Source organism: Homo sapiens, chromosome 21 (assembly GCF_000001405.40).
Source record: "Homo sapiens chromosome 21, GRCh38.p14 Primary Assembly".
NCBI lineage: Eukaryota > Metazoa > Chordata > Mammalia > Primates > Hominidae > Homo > Homo sapiens.
In genome coordinates this window covers 29,764,225-29,781,773 of record NC_000021.9, presented here as the reverse complement: position 1 = coordinate 29,781,773, position 17,549 = coordinate 29,764,225, and the positions used below count along the sequence as shown (strand labels likewise).

General features: G+C 39.2%; 1 protein-coding gene across 13 annotated transcripts in view; it reads left to right on the top strand.

The window, feature by feature from the left end:
* Positions 1-17,549, top strand: part of GRIK1 (glutamate ionotropic receptor kainate type subunit 1) — a 403,064-nt gene that overhangs the window by 158,223 nt on the left and 227,292 nt on the right. The window lies entirely within an intron of this gene.

Sequence of the window (17,549 nt, the reverse complement as noted above, 5' to 3'; positions counted from 1 at the left end):
GCGTGAACCCGGGAAGCGGAGCTTGCAGTGAGCCGAGATTGCGCCACTGCAGTCCGCAGTCCGGCCTGGGCGACAGAGCGAGACTCCGTCTCAAAAAAAAAAAAAAAAAAAAAAAAGAAACAGTAGGTTAGGTGCACATGTAAGAACAGGGATAGTGCTGAGAAAAAAAAAAATCAGAAAGATATCTGTAAAACAACAAAATTTATGTAAGTTTAAAAGTGCATACAACAACTATAGACATTTAAAGATATACATTAAATCCATTGAATGTTCACCAGCTTGGGGTGGGGAAGAGAGTAATGAGAGTGGGAAATACAATGGCATACACATAGGTACGTATTTATAAAGAGGGATATTGCATGGGCTAATGATGATAGTAGGCCATGAAAGTTATATAATTAACTCCTTGTTCCTGGAAAATAAAAAATGGAAGGAAGGAATTAAGGTGGGATGGAAGAAAGGAAGAAATGCAGTGTGGGAGGGAAGGAGGTTTTAGGAAAGGAGAAAGAAAGGAAAAAAGGAAGGAGCATGTTGCAAAGAAGTATAAAGTTGCAAAGAAGCACAGATAGGTATGATTCCATTTATATAAAATTTTGTGTATATATCTGTGAAAAGGGTTTGTGTATACGTGTGTGCATGTGTGTACATAAAAGAGATGTCTTAAAGAATACTCATTAAAATGAGCATTTTAATGCTCACCTATGTCACCCCTGGGAGTGAGATTTTAGATGGGTTTTACTTTTCTTAATACTTCTTTTGTATTGCTTGGCTATTCCAGATGGGAATGTGTTATATCTATAATCTGAGGTTGAGGGGTTGGTATAATTTTGGGTTGTGGGTGGAAATAAATCATCCAGGAATAGCAGATCCTCTCTCTTGCTCTCCTGACATGTCTTTCATATAAACATTGTCTCTAATCATTTTTACTCACCCTTCAATGTGTCAAATGTAAAGCAGGTGTGGCAGAAGCAATAGTGATTTAGTTACAAAATATTGAAATATACTATAAAGATGGACAGGAAATCCATAAGGTGCTTCTTCTGCAATTAAGAACAATATCTAATCATCAGAAACAAGTTTGCTGGCTTGAAATCAAGTGATAAAATGATGCTGAGCCACAAGAGATTCTTGCCCTAATTCCCCTAAAGCTGCTCGTTCTCCTGTTTGCTTTGATTGAACGGCTTCTGTTTCTATTGTCGCAGGCAGGGATACCTAGCAAATTCTCCGCTACTTCAGGCAGGTTTACCCTAGCTAAGTGAAATGAAATCTTAAGCAACCTCTGGGGTACTTGTTGGCTTTAATAATTCAAGTGATAGCACCCACTTTCTTTTCAGAATATATATGCCTTCCTAAACTGTCTCATGCACTGAATTTTTCTATTTTACCATCTTTGTAAATATTCCAATAATGTTATTACAAAATAATGGATAACTATGTCCAAGATGGGTAAATTTAGCTTAAATCCAAAATATATAAATCTTAGTGGTTCCTTGTAATCTCATGGACATGGCTGAAAAGGGGAACGTGGTTCAAAATAATAGTCCCCATAAGTACCTTTCAGGAAATTCCAACTAACACTTACTAATTTCAGAGTAAGTAGATACTAGCTGGCATCCAATTAGCTACAGTATTTACATATTCTATCTCACTGAATCCACCTAATTAAGAGGTAGTATCTATTTATGAGATAGGTATAATTAGCCCCGTTCTACAGATGAGTAAATTTAAGGTCATAGAAGTTAGATAACTTGACCAAGACCACAAAGCTAATAAAGAAGTGCCCAACCTGCAGTTCAGATTTAATTATTTCATAGTATTTAGTGTTCCAAGAAGAAAATCCAGGCATGAGGGTTTTTTTTCTTTGCACTTGTATTTTGCAGGTCACAGTCATATAAGTAATTAGCCTTCACCAATCTCACTATCTACATTTTGTCAGCTAGATACCTCCAGCAAAAGTTGTTCCATGAGAATGTAACTTTTTATAAGACCACATCTTTAAAACGATATTATCACATAGTAAATTAGTGGAATTTTTGGAGCCTAGCTAATGTTGCTCAGCCATTGATTCCCTAAGTTGTTTGGGAGAGAAGACATTGAGTAGAGAATACTCCTTTGGGCTCATACTATATATTCATGGCCATAAAGCCTCCCCTTATATAGTTTATTACTTACCTCTTCAATTGACCTAAAGTCCACTTTTTGTGGGTGGTAAAGATAATTATGTCAGAAATGACACATTAACTTTAGTTGGGATCACACACACACACACACACACACACCATAAAAGGGCAAAACAAAGCTATTGTTCTATTATATTGTCTTAATTATAATAGAAATAAACTTGAATGTCACTGAAAATCATAAGCTCCCTTACACACATAAGCCTCCAAACACATGCACACACACACGTGCACACACACACACACACACACACACACTCACTCACTGACCTCCAAAATATTTTATTCATGGCAAAGAAGAAATGGTTTTTCTGTCTGACTTATCACAGGCATTTCATGCAGAGTCAAAGAAATGTGACATATTTTTCTGAGGATAAAGTACAAAAATGGTTGTCGCTTTGGGGATTAAAAGCAAATATGTCACCTTTGTAAAAGTAATTCTCAATGAATTAGAAAAACAGAACATTTCTGTTTCTTTTCAGATACTCATCCTTAAGCTGAGCTTGCCCTGTGCTCAGCTGGGTAGCCTATCTGTGAGATCACCATGTACTCAGACCAAATAGGAAGACTTATTTTCTTGGGGGCATTATCTCACAATTCGAAATAGAAGATTTCAAGGAAGAGGACCTTAAAATATTTTCCCAAATCATTTTGAATTAGTATAATTCCCTTTTTTTCGAAAAGCCCTCTGGTTAAGAGTAAGAGTGTTAGAGGAATAACTCAGGAAGGACCAGAAGCCAATGATCTCTTAGAAGTGGTCAAGCCAGCAAGTGCTTCATTGAAGTTGGGACTCTGGGTCAAGGATTTCCATCTGTGAGGTCATATCTGTTTCAGAATAACTTATTCACCCACCAGTAACTGACCCGAAAAACTAGAGATTAATTTTTGTCACATTTTTATTGGTGTGGGGAGCACAGAGCAATGGCCAACAGATTGCATTCTTGATAGGGCATGTGTAGAGTAAAACCCTATTAAAACATGGTTGGTTGTTGGATGGATTTGTTCCATCCTAAGTCAAATAATTTCCTTTGAAGCTTAAGTACACAGAGAAAAGTTCTGATAAGAGACAGCATATGAAGCAGACATTAGTCCTGTCCATCAAACATCTTTCATGAAGGAGTCCCAGCATACACACGAAACAATAAACTGCTCTTAGGAAGCACTGAGTCGCCGCAAGGAACTGCGCTAGAATCTTGCTTTAAATATTTCCCAGAAACCACTTATATTAAATCTTAATTTTATTTTGCAAAAATTGGAAAAATGAGAAAACAACAAATCGGCTTTATCCTGTGCTTTGGTTCTAGCATGGTGGCAGTATAGCATCACCTTGGTTTTCTCTCTCATCTTACAGACATTAAGAGCATATAACACAAAATACATAACACAAAGTTGTGTGCTTAGAGATCTGTGCTTTTCTTCAGCTGGGACAAAACATGTATACTAAATTGAGAAGACAGGAGGTAGGAGAACTGCACGCTAGGTTCTATATTAAGTTTTTTACCCACAACCACATTTAACCCTCACAGTGTCCCTATGATTCAGATACGTTTTTATTCTTATTGATGAAGAAGCTGAAGTTCAAGGACATTAGATAGTCTGCTGCAGTTCCCACAGCCTGCATATCACTGACCCAAATTCTTTGTGTTGCGTCATGGTGAAGGGCTCCATCCTCTAGCTCTCTAAACCTAAATTAGAGGTATCATCCTTGACTCTTCCCTCACTTGACCCATTGCCACTCAATTAGTCGTCAAGTTCTGTGGATTCGTTTTTCTTTCTTTTTTTTCTTTCTGTTCGTTCTGTCACCAGGACTGCTGAAACAGCCTCTAGTCCGACAGTCACCTGCATTAACGTTCCAAAATGAGGATCAGATCGTGTTATCCCTGTACTTAACGTCCTTCAGCGTGCTGCCATTGGCCTTAGAATGAGGTACAAACTTCTTGATATGGTTTTCAGTATCACCAGATATTCGTTCCCTGCTTGCCACCTCACCTATGTCCTTAACACTCTATGCTCCAAACACAATTAGACCTTTTTCAATTTTTCAAATGCTTTCTTGACTTGGGCCTTTTCAATGCTGTTATCCATACCCCAAACCCTCTCCAATTACCTTTTCTCTCTGTCCACACATCCTTCTAGTCCTGGGAAAATTTTCACATCCTTGGAAAGCCTTCATGGTTTTCACATAGCAGTAGTTCTGAAATTGCAGTCCCTTGACTAATAGCCTAAGCAACGACTGGGACCTTGTTAATGATTAATATAAATTCTAGAGCCCTATCCCTAACCCATTGAACCAGGATCTCTAGGGTGGTAACTAAAGTGTATGTTTTAGCAAGTACTTCAGGTGATTCTGGTTCTGGTTGAAGTTTGACCCACTTCCCTCTAGGTGAACCCCAATCCTCACGAGAGTCACCCAGTACTGACACCTCAAGCTCATCTCCAGAATTTATATTAATCTCCAGAGATTTTGAGTTACTTGGTCTAGGGTGGGGCCTGAGAATTGGATTCTTGTTACTTATGTTTTTAAGTTTCCCAATATGACTCTAATGTACAGTCAGGGATGAGATCTTCTTCCTTAGGCTAATTTAGGACCAGTCTTGTACTTCCCTTTCTTGATACTTGATCCCTTTATTTTCTTCTGGTATTGTCTGACATCCTCGGTAGACAGAGTTTATGAGGGTAAAAACTGTATCTGAACAGTTCAAGCACAGTCCCAGAACAATAATTCAGATGTAGTAGTCACTCAATTAAAATGTATTGAAAAAAATACATGTTGAATGGATATCTACCTAAGATCCCTGGCAAAAGATTACTGGCTAACATGACCTCAACCACCCCTGCAAAGAGGTTTTCATTGAAAAGTCCACATTTGCTTGTTTAGGTCATCACTAAATCACTAACAACCCCTTCTAAACTTTAGACTCTTTCACTTTTATCAACAGGGAGTTAAAATATTAAAAATATCATCCTCCTTGTCACCGTTAATAAATACCATCCACTTGTTCCACACTGGAAACTACATGTAGTTCCTATCTCTCCATTTTTCTTCTCTCATTTTAATTGGGGTGCTACAGAGATGTGTAGACTTAAATTTCAACTCCATAAATAAAAATTGAGCAATATGCCTTCATGGAGACTATTTTCTACAAATCTTTTCATTGTATATCTTAACTTTATAGCTATTCAAATTATATGCTGATTACACGAGAAGTGTTTTGTTGATACAAACTCAATATTCACCTTATTCAATCCAAGTATTTGACCAAGTATGTTAAGGTTTCAGCTACAGTTTCTTATGAGGGTATGTAATAAAGTAAAGAATAAAAAGGTAAATCATTGATATGGTTTGGCAGTGTCCCCACTCAAAATCTCATCTTGAATTGCAATCCCCATAATCCTCATAATCCCATGTGTGGAGGGAGGGACCTCGTGGGAGGTAATTGAATCATTGAGGCAATTTCCCCTATGCTATATTCATGACAGTGAGAGAGTTCTCACAATATCTGGTGGTTTTAAAAGTGTTTGGTAGTTCCTTCTGCATTCATTCTCCTTCCTGCCACCTTGTAAAGAAGGTGCGTTGCTTCCCTTCACCTTCCGCCATGATTGTAGGTTTCCTGAGGCCTCTCCAGCCATGCTGAACCTTGAGTCAATTAAACATCTTTCCTTTATAAATTACCCAGTCTCGGGCAGTTCTTTATAGCAGTATGAAAACTGACTAATACAAAGTAAGTATAAAACTACTAAAGGGAGGTTTAGCGCCTTTAAATCTAAAAAGGAAGTCTGTTCATACAGTAGTAGAAGTGAAGAAGGAATGCTAAGAAGAACAGGTTTTGGGGAGAAGTTCTAAAATGCAAATTTCCACTGAAGAAAGAGAAAGGTAAAAAAATGACTTAGTAGAGAGCAACTGATCACCATGGTAACAGCAAAATAGCACACAGTTGGAAAGGGCTCACCATGGAGCAGAGTCAGGAGACCTGGCCTTTCCTGTTGCCCTTTTTTTCCTTTCTGGTTTGGAAGAAGGGAAGTTCAAGTTGTGAGGGCTGGCAGGGAAATACCACCAGCAAGGTGAGCCTCCCTGGACTGTACCAGGAGTGCAGAAGCCTGTCCAGGCTGGTTGCTGCTCTTACCTCCTCAGCTGAGCAACTGAGCTCCTTGGTAGCTGGAGAGAGGAAGCAGAGAAAGGTGCTTCTCTGTACTCTAGTACTACAAGTCTATAAGTCCAACAATACCAGGATTCCAAACTCCTTGATTCTTCAATGGTTTAAGGCCATCTATTGACAAAGCAACTATTGGTGGACTTTTTTTTTTTTTTTTTTTTTTTGAGACAGAGGCTCACTCTGTCGCCCAGGCTGGAGTGCAGTGGCGCAATCTCTGCTCACTGCAACCTCAGCCTCCTGAGTAGCTGGGATTACAGGTGCATGCCGGCTAATTTTTGTATTTTCAGTAGAGACGGGGTTTCGCCAGGTTGGTCAGGCTGGTCTCAAACTCCTGACCTCGTGATCTGCCAGCCTTGGCCTCCCAGAGTGCTGGGATTACAGGCGTGAGCTACCATGCCTGGCTGAGTTTTGGTGGATGTTTTTAGCAGTAAAAGCAAAGAATCAACTAACCCCAGGATAGTATATGAGGAGCAGGACCAGCTACTTAATTCAGAGGCCCAGTGCAAAGTGAAAATGTGGATCCCCTTGTTTCAAAAATTATTAAGAAGTTCAAGACAGCAACAGCAGGGCATGAAACCAAGCTCAGCGTCCTCCGATGTGCAAGCCCCATGCAACTGCACAGGTCTCACATCCATAAAGCCAGCCAGATCAGAAACCTCAACTTAGAAAAAGAGGGAGATAAAGAAACAGCACTTGATGCAGTGGCTCACGCCTGTAATCCCAACACTTTGTGAGGCCGAGGCAGGTGGATCACAAGGTCAGGAGATTGAGACCAGCCTGGCCAATATGGTAAAACCCTGTCTCCACTAAAAATACAAAAATTAGCCAGTCATGGTAGCAGGTGCCTGTAGTCCCAGCTATCCAGAAGGTTGAGGCAGGAGAATAGCTTGAACCTGGGAGGTGGAGGTTGCAGTGAGCCGAGATCGTGCCACTGCACTCCAGCCTGAGTGACAGAGTGAGACTCCGTCTCAGAAAAAAAAAAAAAAAAAAAAAGAGCAAAATAAAGAAACAGCACTTGATTCTCTACACTGATCTTCAACAGATGTCTGGTTTCCTTTACCTCTGTTCCAACTGTGATATACTCTCATAATAAATCTGCATCTTGAATTTAAAGTTCTACTTTCCTAACAGTCTGAATTTGCTTAAGTTGTTGAATAATATGTTGAAGTTGTATTCATATGGTTAGTGAAAGAAAAGTAGGTTGCTGGTTTGTAAGCCAAGGGGACAAAAGTGCTTTCTGTTGATGAACCGAGAAACCAATGGATATAAGGATATTATAATTCTCTGCAAGGATATTATAATTCTCTGCAGAATAAGAAATTGAAGGGTACAGTAGGGAAGGAAGATGAATGCCTTGCCAGTAGAGCTTATATTCAGGATATAAATCCACCGAGTAGCAGAAAATATTAGTTCCTTATCTTTGTATGCTAAATCCAGCATAGAGATATGGTCTGGCTACATATAGCCTAAAAATAAAAGTTGGATTGAGTGAATGAGTAAACACTTTTTTCAGACGGGAAAGGGATGGACAAGACTTGAGAAGGTGTGTTGTTTTGCTATTATTTTAAGTTGAATGAATGTAGTTTAAATTGCCTTAGTTTATGACAGATTTTTCCACAAAATACATGCAAGCCCCTGTGAATATGTTACAAATGTGCTGAGATGTTGATGTCAACCCCCTCATCCCTTTGCCCTGTACACATTTTTATCATTTTCTAGATAAGCTATGCTATCTGATGAGCTATGCTGTACACATTTTTATCGTTTTCTAGATGAGCTATGGTGTACGAGAGGTTGTTATGCACCGACTCTGACTTGTAGAGATATATAGGAATCCAAGCGGGATGATCTAGTTACTGCCTATGTTTGATGAAGTAGGCTGTGCTCCTTTGTAGAGTGTGATAAAGAAGGCAGAAGGAAACATTTCACGACTCTGCCTTGGAGAAAGACAGGTAGACATATGTCAAGAAGAATTGCCCACATGGCTCCAGTAGACAAGCAGAAAACTTGGAAATACCAAAGGTGGATGCCGATTACCTAACATAGGTGAAGAAGGGAAGCCAACCCTGTCACTGAACATTTGTCAGTGCTTATTTTGAAATACTATTTTCAGAATATACTGCCATGGGCCAAAATGAGTTGAAGCCTAGAGAAAATACAGCCCTCTGTGTCCTGTGCATTTATCTTCTCCCAGTCCTCTCGCTTGCAGAATGTTCAGAAGAAGGACTTACACTGATACAAAGCAGACGAGAGCCCTGTTCCTTACTGCTTTGTTTTTATATAACTAATACAAAAAGATATTATCATAAAAGTTTATAAAGCATCTGTTCTCCAGAATTTCTGTTGAGGAATTTAAATTCTTGCACCCATCTATAAGTTACATGGACTCCTTATCAGCCTCCTCTCCCTCAACATCACCACCATCATCATCATTAACAGCATTTGTTCATTGCCCCTGTATTACTAAATGGAGCAATACAGGTTAAAAAATTTTCCAATCATTAGAAATTTTAATTGAGGACATTAACATTGACACAGAAGAATATAGGAAATACATAGTAACAAAGTTCAATGAAAACTTAAAATTTTTCTGAAACATGATATTTATCATATGCGTAATTAACCCAACATAACCATTAAGTGGTGAAGAAAATGGGCCCATCTACTTTGCAAACTGCTTCTGCCTAATTTGTTGATGGCTCTTTGCACAATTTTAGTATTTGAACCTTTTAAGGATCTCTTTTTTGGGTTTCACATACGCAAATTTACAAACTGGTTTTAAACAGTGCTCTATTTTAATGAGGAAAATTTTAGAACTGCAATTAGTTTTTGTTCAAAAAAGGGTGGGGGGGATGACAAATAGTTAATTGAGTTCCTCTCCAAAAGGATATGAAAGATAAAACTTTGTCCTTGATTACATAGAAGACTATGTCTTTGTAGTTTAAAACATTTTGCTATTGATTTTTGGTTCTGTTGAAATAGTATGTAAGAAATGGTTTACACTAGTGTATTGGAAAGTTAGAAATTAGCTTCAAGAGGGCAGGAAACGGTTGTCCCTGAGTGTTGATGCTGTTGTAGACAAATAACACACTTTCAAAAACTATTTTTATCTAAAGTCATTTTTTCATAGTATAACTCAAAAAGGGCAGCAAACACTTCTTAAATATGAGTTACAGCCTTCTTCAATAATGAACAAAAATTGTATTCAGTTGATTTTCTTACCTATGGACCAAGACGTATTTCAATAAAAAACAGCCAAGAGTGTTTAAACATTTCCATTTCGAAAGATTCAATGAAGTGAAAAAAAATGTGCCTGTAAAAAGAACCAGATCTTCCAAAAGGAATTAATTTGTTTTTGAATAATGCACTGATCTTTTGAAAATGGCAAGTTCCAACGAATAAACTATGAGATTGGTATCATAACTCCAGGAATGGTATTCAAACAACTGGGGGACTTGGCATCAACTAAAAAGAATGGATCTGGCTGTCCCAGAGCTGCTTGCTGAGTGTTCATCTTTTATTTGGTAGAACTAGAGGAATACAGTGACCTTACAGGAGGGACTAGGGGGCGGGCATAGTGATAGGAGTGGGAGGAGCTCCCAGAGTCTTAAGACAGCAGCTATTTGCCAGCTGGCAATACAGCAGTATTTTCAATATTTTCACTACTGGTATAGCCAAAAGGTGCTTACTGGGTGATGTCAACTTCTGATTCTCAACAAGGGAATGTCACTTACTCATCAGTGATATCCAGCCCACACTGGCTTGGGTTTGTGCAGCCAATCAGATCAACATTTTCCCATCAGCGTGACATCAAGCGTATGAACACCTTTCCCATGAGCCAGGTACCAACCATTACTAGTATTTGTTATAGAAGGAAAAACTGAAGTCCAAGAATAACATTTCACTGGCCAGCATGCCCTCTGCTTCTACCAAGACTTCAGCTAGTCCTAAATGCAAGAGCATGGAGATCACATACTCTACTGATCTTGAAACAAAAATCAATTATCATCAAATGAAAATAAAAGTAAACGTAATTAGTACCTTGTTTTCCCCCACAAAGCTTATATTTTATTTCTCTTACTCCATTAGACATCGGGGCCTTCTTATTTATTAACAGTAGTGAATCCCTGCTCTACCAAATATATGTATAAAGTTCTCTGGGAGAAAACGGAATGAGTAGCTGTTTTTAGGGCAGCCATAGTATGAGTTTTGGAACTACATAATTCAGATAAAATAAAATGTTGACATGGTTTTTCATTTAAACACTGCAACTATCAGAGTCACTATGGGTACTGGATTTATTAAAACCTCAAATGTTTAAAAACTGTTGGCATGATTGTATGCATATTTTGATAGAGTTACATGTAGAAGCATGTTAATAAAATATCAGAACCAATTATAATAGAAACCACATTTAATTAAAATTTCCTAATACAACCATATTCACTACATTATTTTTACCTTTGGTGTCATTAATTCCCTCCTGACTCATCCCACTTACTAATTTAGAAGACTTAATAATAAGAACATCACTGTTTTCTGTTTCATACTGAAATAAGGTGACACTAATTGCTAAAATTTTTATCAACCACTACTGAGGACCTAGGCAAGTGAATATTTTGCCTCTATGAATTTCTCATGAAAGCATTTTGAGACCAGCGTTTTAAAGACTATTATTTCAAAAACAATGTCTGCACAAGCCATGAACAAATGCTGAAATAAGATATTTTTATTAGATGTTCTTGTTGAAGCAAGTTGGAACAAGAAGTGGTAGGAAGATATTTATCTGTTTGCACAAAAACAGTAAACTAGATTTATTTGAGTAATACATTTATCAAAATCCTGTTGGGAGTATATGGGTTTGGGTATTCAAAAAATGGATGTGAGTCTCTCTGCTTTCCAGCCTGCCTGGTCACCTTCCTGCCTGGAGACAGTGGTGGCTACATGTGCATGTTTTATATATCTGAATATTAGCAGTCATTTGTCCCAATCCCACAAGTGCTGACAAGGGTCATTGTTGGAGTCATCGGCACCCCTGCACCCTCTCACTTTGTTACGCTGATGTTAGAAATGTCACATATGGAAGGAAGCAGAGCATCAGACCCAGACGTGGGCACTACTGGAGAAGCAGATTGGGGCATTTACTAACATATAGGGCCTTCAGGCATTTAACTCGATGAAGCTGAGCACGATGGGTGACACAATCTGTTTCCAATTCCGGATGAAGTATTCATATATACTTGGACCATAAATTTAAAACGCGAGTTGTCTAGCCATTCCAGAAAAGTCACAAAGCAGTGTTTGTATCAGTTGAAAGAAGAACTATGCAGTTACTGATAGAGAAGATCTCCCCGCATCCAGAAGATCAGGGAAGGACTATAGAATAGCACTCGTGGGAATTTATCTGGACGTTGAAAGATATGTAGGGTGAACTACTATAAAAAACAACATCATACTCACATCTTTGTCACTCATCTATTTATTCCAAAAACTCAAAAATTCAGTGAACACTGTATTAGCTTCCTAAGACTGCCATAACAAAGTACCATAACCTGGGTGGCTTAGAAAACCAGAAATTTATTATCCTGCAGTTTTGAAGGCTAGAAGGCTGAAATCAAGATGTTAGCAGGGTTGGTTGCTCCTGAGGGCCGTAAGGGAGAATCTGTCCCCGGTCTCCCTCCTAGCTTCTAGAAGCCTCAGGTATTCCTTGGCTTGTGTATCAGGGATCCCCAGTCCCACAGGGGCATAGACCGGTACCGGTCCATGGCCTGTTAGGAACCGCTCACAACAGGAGATGAGTGGCCAGCGGGTAAGTGAGCATTACCACCTGAGCTCCGCCTCTTGTCAGATCAGCGGGGACATTAGATTCTCTTAGGAGCGCAAACCCTATTGTGAACTGCGCATGGGAGGGATGTAGGTTGCACACTCCTTATGAGAATCTAATACCTGATGATCTAAGGTGGAACCGTTTCATCCCAAAACCAGCTCCCACCACCCCTCACCTCCAGTCCTTGGAAAAATTATCTTCCAGGAAACCGGTTTCTCATGCCAAAAAGGTTGGGGACTGCAGTTGTAGATGAATTCTCCCTGTGTCTTCACATCATCTTCTCTCTGTACGCGTCTGTCTCTGTGTCAAAATGTCCCCTTTTTATAAAGACTCCTGTTGTATGGCATTAGGGCCCATCCTAGTGACCTCGTTTTAATTTGATTCCCTCTATAAATACCTTGTCTCCTAATAAAGTCATGTTCTCAGGTTCTGATTACAAGGTGTCTTTTTTTGCTTGTCACAATTCTACCTATAACAAACACCTACTAGTAGCCAGGCACTATATGAGCCACTCACAAATGGCACAGTTTCTGCCCTCATGGTGCTTAGTAATCTAGCAAATATAATAATCATTAAGAAAAAAAATTTAAAGAACAACAATAATTGATTGATTGTTACCTCTATGCTTAAGACTACGCTAAATGCTTTAAAAGCATTTTCTCATTTAATCCTCAAAGCAACATTTTGAAGTAAACACGGTATTCACTATCATTAGAAACAGCTTGGTGGAAAGTTATATTTGACTTGAGTGTGAAGAATAGACTTGCAATTCTTCAGTCAAAGAAGAAGACACATCAGGAAAACTGCGTAAGTTGAGGACAGAAAATGTGTGTATGGTGAACAGAACGAGCTCAAATCTGGTTTTAGGAGACTGAAATAGACAACTCTTCAGCATGGTCTGTCTGGCTGCCTCTCTCTTCCTCCCCGGGCTCCTCCGATCTGCAGCATGGGGTTCAGGTGGCATCCCCCCTGCACATATGCCCATGCAACCCAGAGGCGGAGGACATTAACACCCATGGTGCCATTCTTAACCGATGGGAGTGAAAACGGATACATCATGCTTCCTCTTTTTGTGCCCTGGGTGGACAGTTCTGAGACACCATTCAGAAGGCTCTCAGAAGGTCCCTGCAGAATCAAGCACCAGGTATTTATAGTGGTGGACAGCTCAGTAATGCATCGTTGTATCGTCTTTCTCTCCTTTTCTATTTTACTCTCCTGTCCTGTATTTCTCCCCAGAATTCCCATCTCAAAAGACTCGCACAAAAGCCTTGGCCTCAGGTTCCACTTTTAAGGGACTAAGATCATTGGCATCAGATTTTATTATCCCAGATCAGAGATGAAAACAACTGACTCATCAGTGTCTTTTTCAAAGCCAAGAAGCTGTAGGCATACCCAGAATTAGCACCCAAGTCTCTTAGCACTCAAGTCTCTTGGCTTCCTGAAGAACATCTTCCCCATAAAGGAGGTCATCCAGCCTAAAAACTCTCGATAATCATTTTCCCGTATAAACACCTTCAAGCACCTTGCATGAGGGAAAGCACTTTTTGCTCCTTTCTACACCGTCACCTCCAGCACGGAAGATTGGTAGCTGGGACCCCATTGCCAGCGCTTAAAAATAGTTTTATCTGGAGTGAAGCCAAAAAGGCAAGTCATGGAAGTAAAATACAAATGTTCTGTCTCTTATTGTCTTTCCATTACATGGAATACATACACACACACACACACACACACACACACACACACACACATGAATTTCAGCTGAGGAGAACACACACACACAAACACACACACACACACACATACATACAAATTTCAGCTGAGGAGAAATTAACTTGAACCAAAATGAAAGAGAAGAGGAGTAGGGACTTCTGACTCAAAGGCAAGTCTACTTCAATTGCCTGTCACTACCAGATTAAAAGTTGAAGCACAAGAGCCTTTTGAGACCTCTAAAATTGTTCTCTGATTGCTGGAGACTTTCCTACTGTAGAGAAATAAATATATTAATGGGGTACTTCTTCCTCCCACAATGTCCAAAGTCCTGTGTTTTAAAAAATTTATGTTATAGAATATTTTTATATTGCAGTTCTTTTTTTTTTTCCATCTTTCTCCTGAGCAAACCTTTTTTTATATGAAGGTCACAACAACTTCCATAATGCAGACAGGTTGTATTCTCTTAATTGTTCTAAAAGCCACATACATATGAGCAAATTGCTGTCTAGATTAATTATAGAAAATGTTCAAAAGAATTCCATTATTATTGCAGATCCCATTAAGAGGCTGTAATGTATAGATAATAATTCTGTTTACTACAATCGACATCCATACACATCCTGGAAATATCCAGAAAAAGACATACAGGATATTTTAAAACACACACATTGTCCCATTCCTTTATTTGACCATTTCCCCTGATTTTATGATGCATTAATATTCAGTGGTTTTGTGATTTTTCTCATTTTCTTTCTCCCTTTTCCATGGGCACCATTCTACCCCTCCTTCGGATGAAGTATGTGCCAGTCACACAGCCCCACAGAGAAAGTTGCTGTCTAGCTAGCTTGGGAATTTCTACACTTAGGCAGACTCAGGAAAGTGCTAGGAGAAGGTGGGTCCTACAAAGTGCACTCCTATTTTACTACTAAATGAGTTAAGACCCCAGAATCTTCAGTCTTTGGGAAACAATCCCATAACAGAGCCTTTCATGCAATTGAAGAGCTTCTTTCATAAAGAGAGACAGACGGAAGAAACATCAAAGAAAATACTCTGCATTATAACCTCAAGAAGATTTAGAAGAGGGAAGCCATTTCAAAGAGACTGTTTTCAAAGTACATGCGGCCCTGGGGGAGAAGAGCAACTTCACTTATTCTTCTCCCTTATACAAACAAGTTTTCAGAGAAGTCCCTCTGATGAAGTATATCGTACTATGCTCACGAACAGCTGTCTCTATGTGTGAGAAAGAATATTTAGAAACAGGTAGCTATTTACTCTAGCAATGCTACTGTGTGCTAGTGAGTCATGGATGCAACAATGCTGGTTTTGATTTTGTCTGTGGAATAAAATCCAAAACTTGGTGTTATCAAAAGCTTTGCAGGCCTCTCAACCAGGTCTTATGTATTTTCTGGCTTGAAGAGATGGGAGTCAGACCTCTATCTCAGGATTCCTCAACCTCAACAGAAGGATCAGATTATTCTTCATTGTGGGGGGCTGCCCTGTGCATTGCAGAATGTTTAGCAACACCCTGGCCTCTACCCACTGGAAGCCAGTAGCACCTACTCAATCGTAACAATCAAAAATGTCTTCAGATAATGCCAAAATGTAGCTAGGGGTGGAGACAATAAAATCGTCTGTGATTCAGAACTACTGTTTTATATTAAGAACATCATGCTTGGAAGGATTTTGTTTTAAGGCCTGTGGCTGAGTGTAGGATATGCCAAGAACATACTGAGTTGTCTAAAGAAGAACTTTCTGGCCAGGCACGGTGGCTCATGCCTGTAATCCCAGCACTTTTGGAGGCCAAGGCGGCCGGATCACGAAGTCAGGAGATCGAGACCAACCTGGCCAACACGGTAAAACCGTCTCTACTAAAAATACAAAAAATTAGCCGGGCGTGGTGGCGGGCGCCTGTAGTCCCAGCTACTCGGGAGGCTGAGGCAGGAGAATGGCGTGAACCCGGGAGGTGGAACTTGCAATGAGCCGAGATCGCGCCACTGCACTCCAGCCTGGGTGACAGAGCGAGATTCTGTCTCAAAAAAAAAAAAGAAGAATTTTCTTAGATAAAATTTAAGCTGACAAGAACAGTAGTAAAGAAATATTGAAGGGAAGTGCAGAAGCATTGCTCCTGGCTCTCACAGGTGGACAACATGCAGGTGGACAATATAACCCAGTTTGCTGTATTTGTCAGAGGGAGGGATTCTTATTCTGCTCTACTTCCTCCCTCTTAGTCCCCATTCGAAGCAGGATTAACTGTCCCCTGGCATATGGTGGTTCAGGGTCAGCCAAAGAGCATTCTTTCCCTAAAGGCCCTCTCAGTAACTATTGGGAAAAGCCATCTTATATAGCCAATTTAGGGCTAGAAAGAAAAGAATTTTACAGAGTTTGCAGTTGAATGACAGAAGACAGAAGGAATGCAATAACTTAAATAAATCTGTAGCCATGTCTGTGGAGCACGGAGGAATCCATTAGGGTATAAGGTAGCAAGGAGACCTCTCAAGGTGGAAAAATAAAAATAAAAAAGATTAGAAGGAAATTGCAAAGTGAAGAAATGAGCCTTTCTCATTACTTGAAAGCATAATCTCTACTCATAAAAGCAAGCAGAAAAAAGAGACATATTAGATTTTCTTATAAAATAAAAGTAGGAGGGACAAAAATGCTGCACACTCAAGTGTGGTGTGTGCACAGTGCTCAAGTAACTTAGAAAGAAATAAAGGTCTTTGACTTCTTGGCACTATATTAGACTATTCCTCTGTTCTTCTAAGAGCATGTGGCTCTGCCAGAGGCAGGAGCTATAAGAAGGGAGACAGAAATGCAAAGAGGTCATGATCTTTTAAAGGAAATATATCTCACTATTTTTTCTCCATTTGAAAATCATGTTTTATTTCAACCTATTCGATTTATATTTTCAAGTCAATAATAATGTATAAAACATCTAAAAGGGCTTGGAATGCATTTTATAAATAGTCTGGGAATTGAAGACTGAAAGCCCTAAGTTTTCTGAATTCACTATTTTAATATCTCTAAGTTCCAGTATCTAGCTTGTTAAGGATAAGGTGAAGTTTATTCACGTTTATAATATATTTAATTTTTGCATCCAAACTATCAAAAGGAAGTTCACAATGCTTTTAATTCTGATGCTTTTGTGAGGAGCAGGTACCTTTCTGATTTCTGCTACTGTGTAGGTATCTAGAAATCAGTTATCTTATGATCTTATGATGTGTTTATTTGTTTATGAAGATATAGCCATCAGCATTGATTGTGTGGCTTCACTACTGACCTTGCCTAGGGGAATTTGGACATCAAACTTTGGATTTAAAAATTATTTCTGTGGAGGTTAATTAGCTTTTTGTTAGTGGTGTTTCCTTTGAATGACATTCAGGGGAAATAGGAGAGTCTGAGCTGACACAAAATTTTAGATGACTTTGCAATAGGGAAATTACTTTTTTATGGATGTGGGTACACTAATGCTGTTAACTAACACTAATTAACTCTGCCTAGAGACAGTCCCAGCATCTGTATGAAATTAGTATGGTTCTGTCCTACAAAATCCACACTGCTAAGGGAGGAAATAAATAAAGGTTTCTGAACATCCGTGGAAAAATAAAGTGTTTTCTGTGGCACTAGTAAACTGAAAGTAGTATTTAATCCTAGATAATGTTTTCACCTCCCATGCTTCTG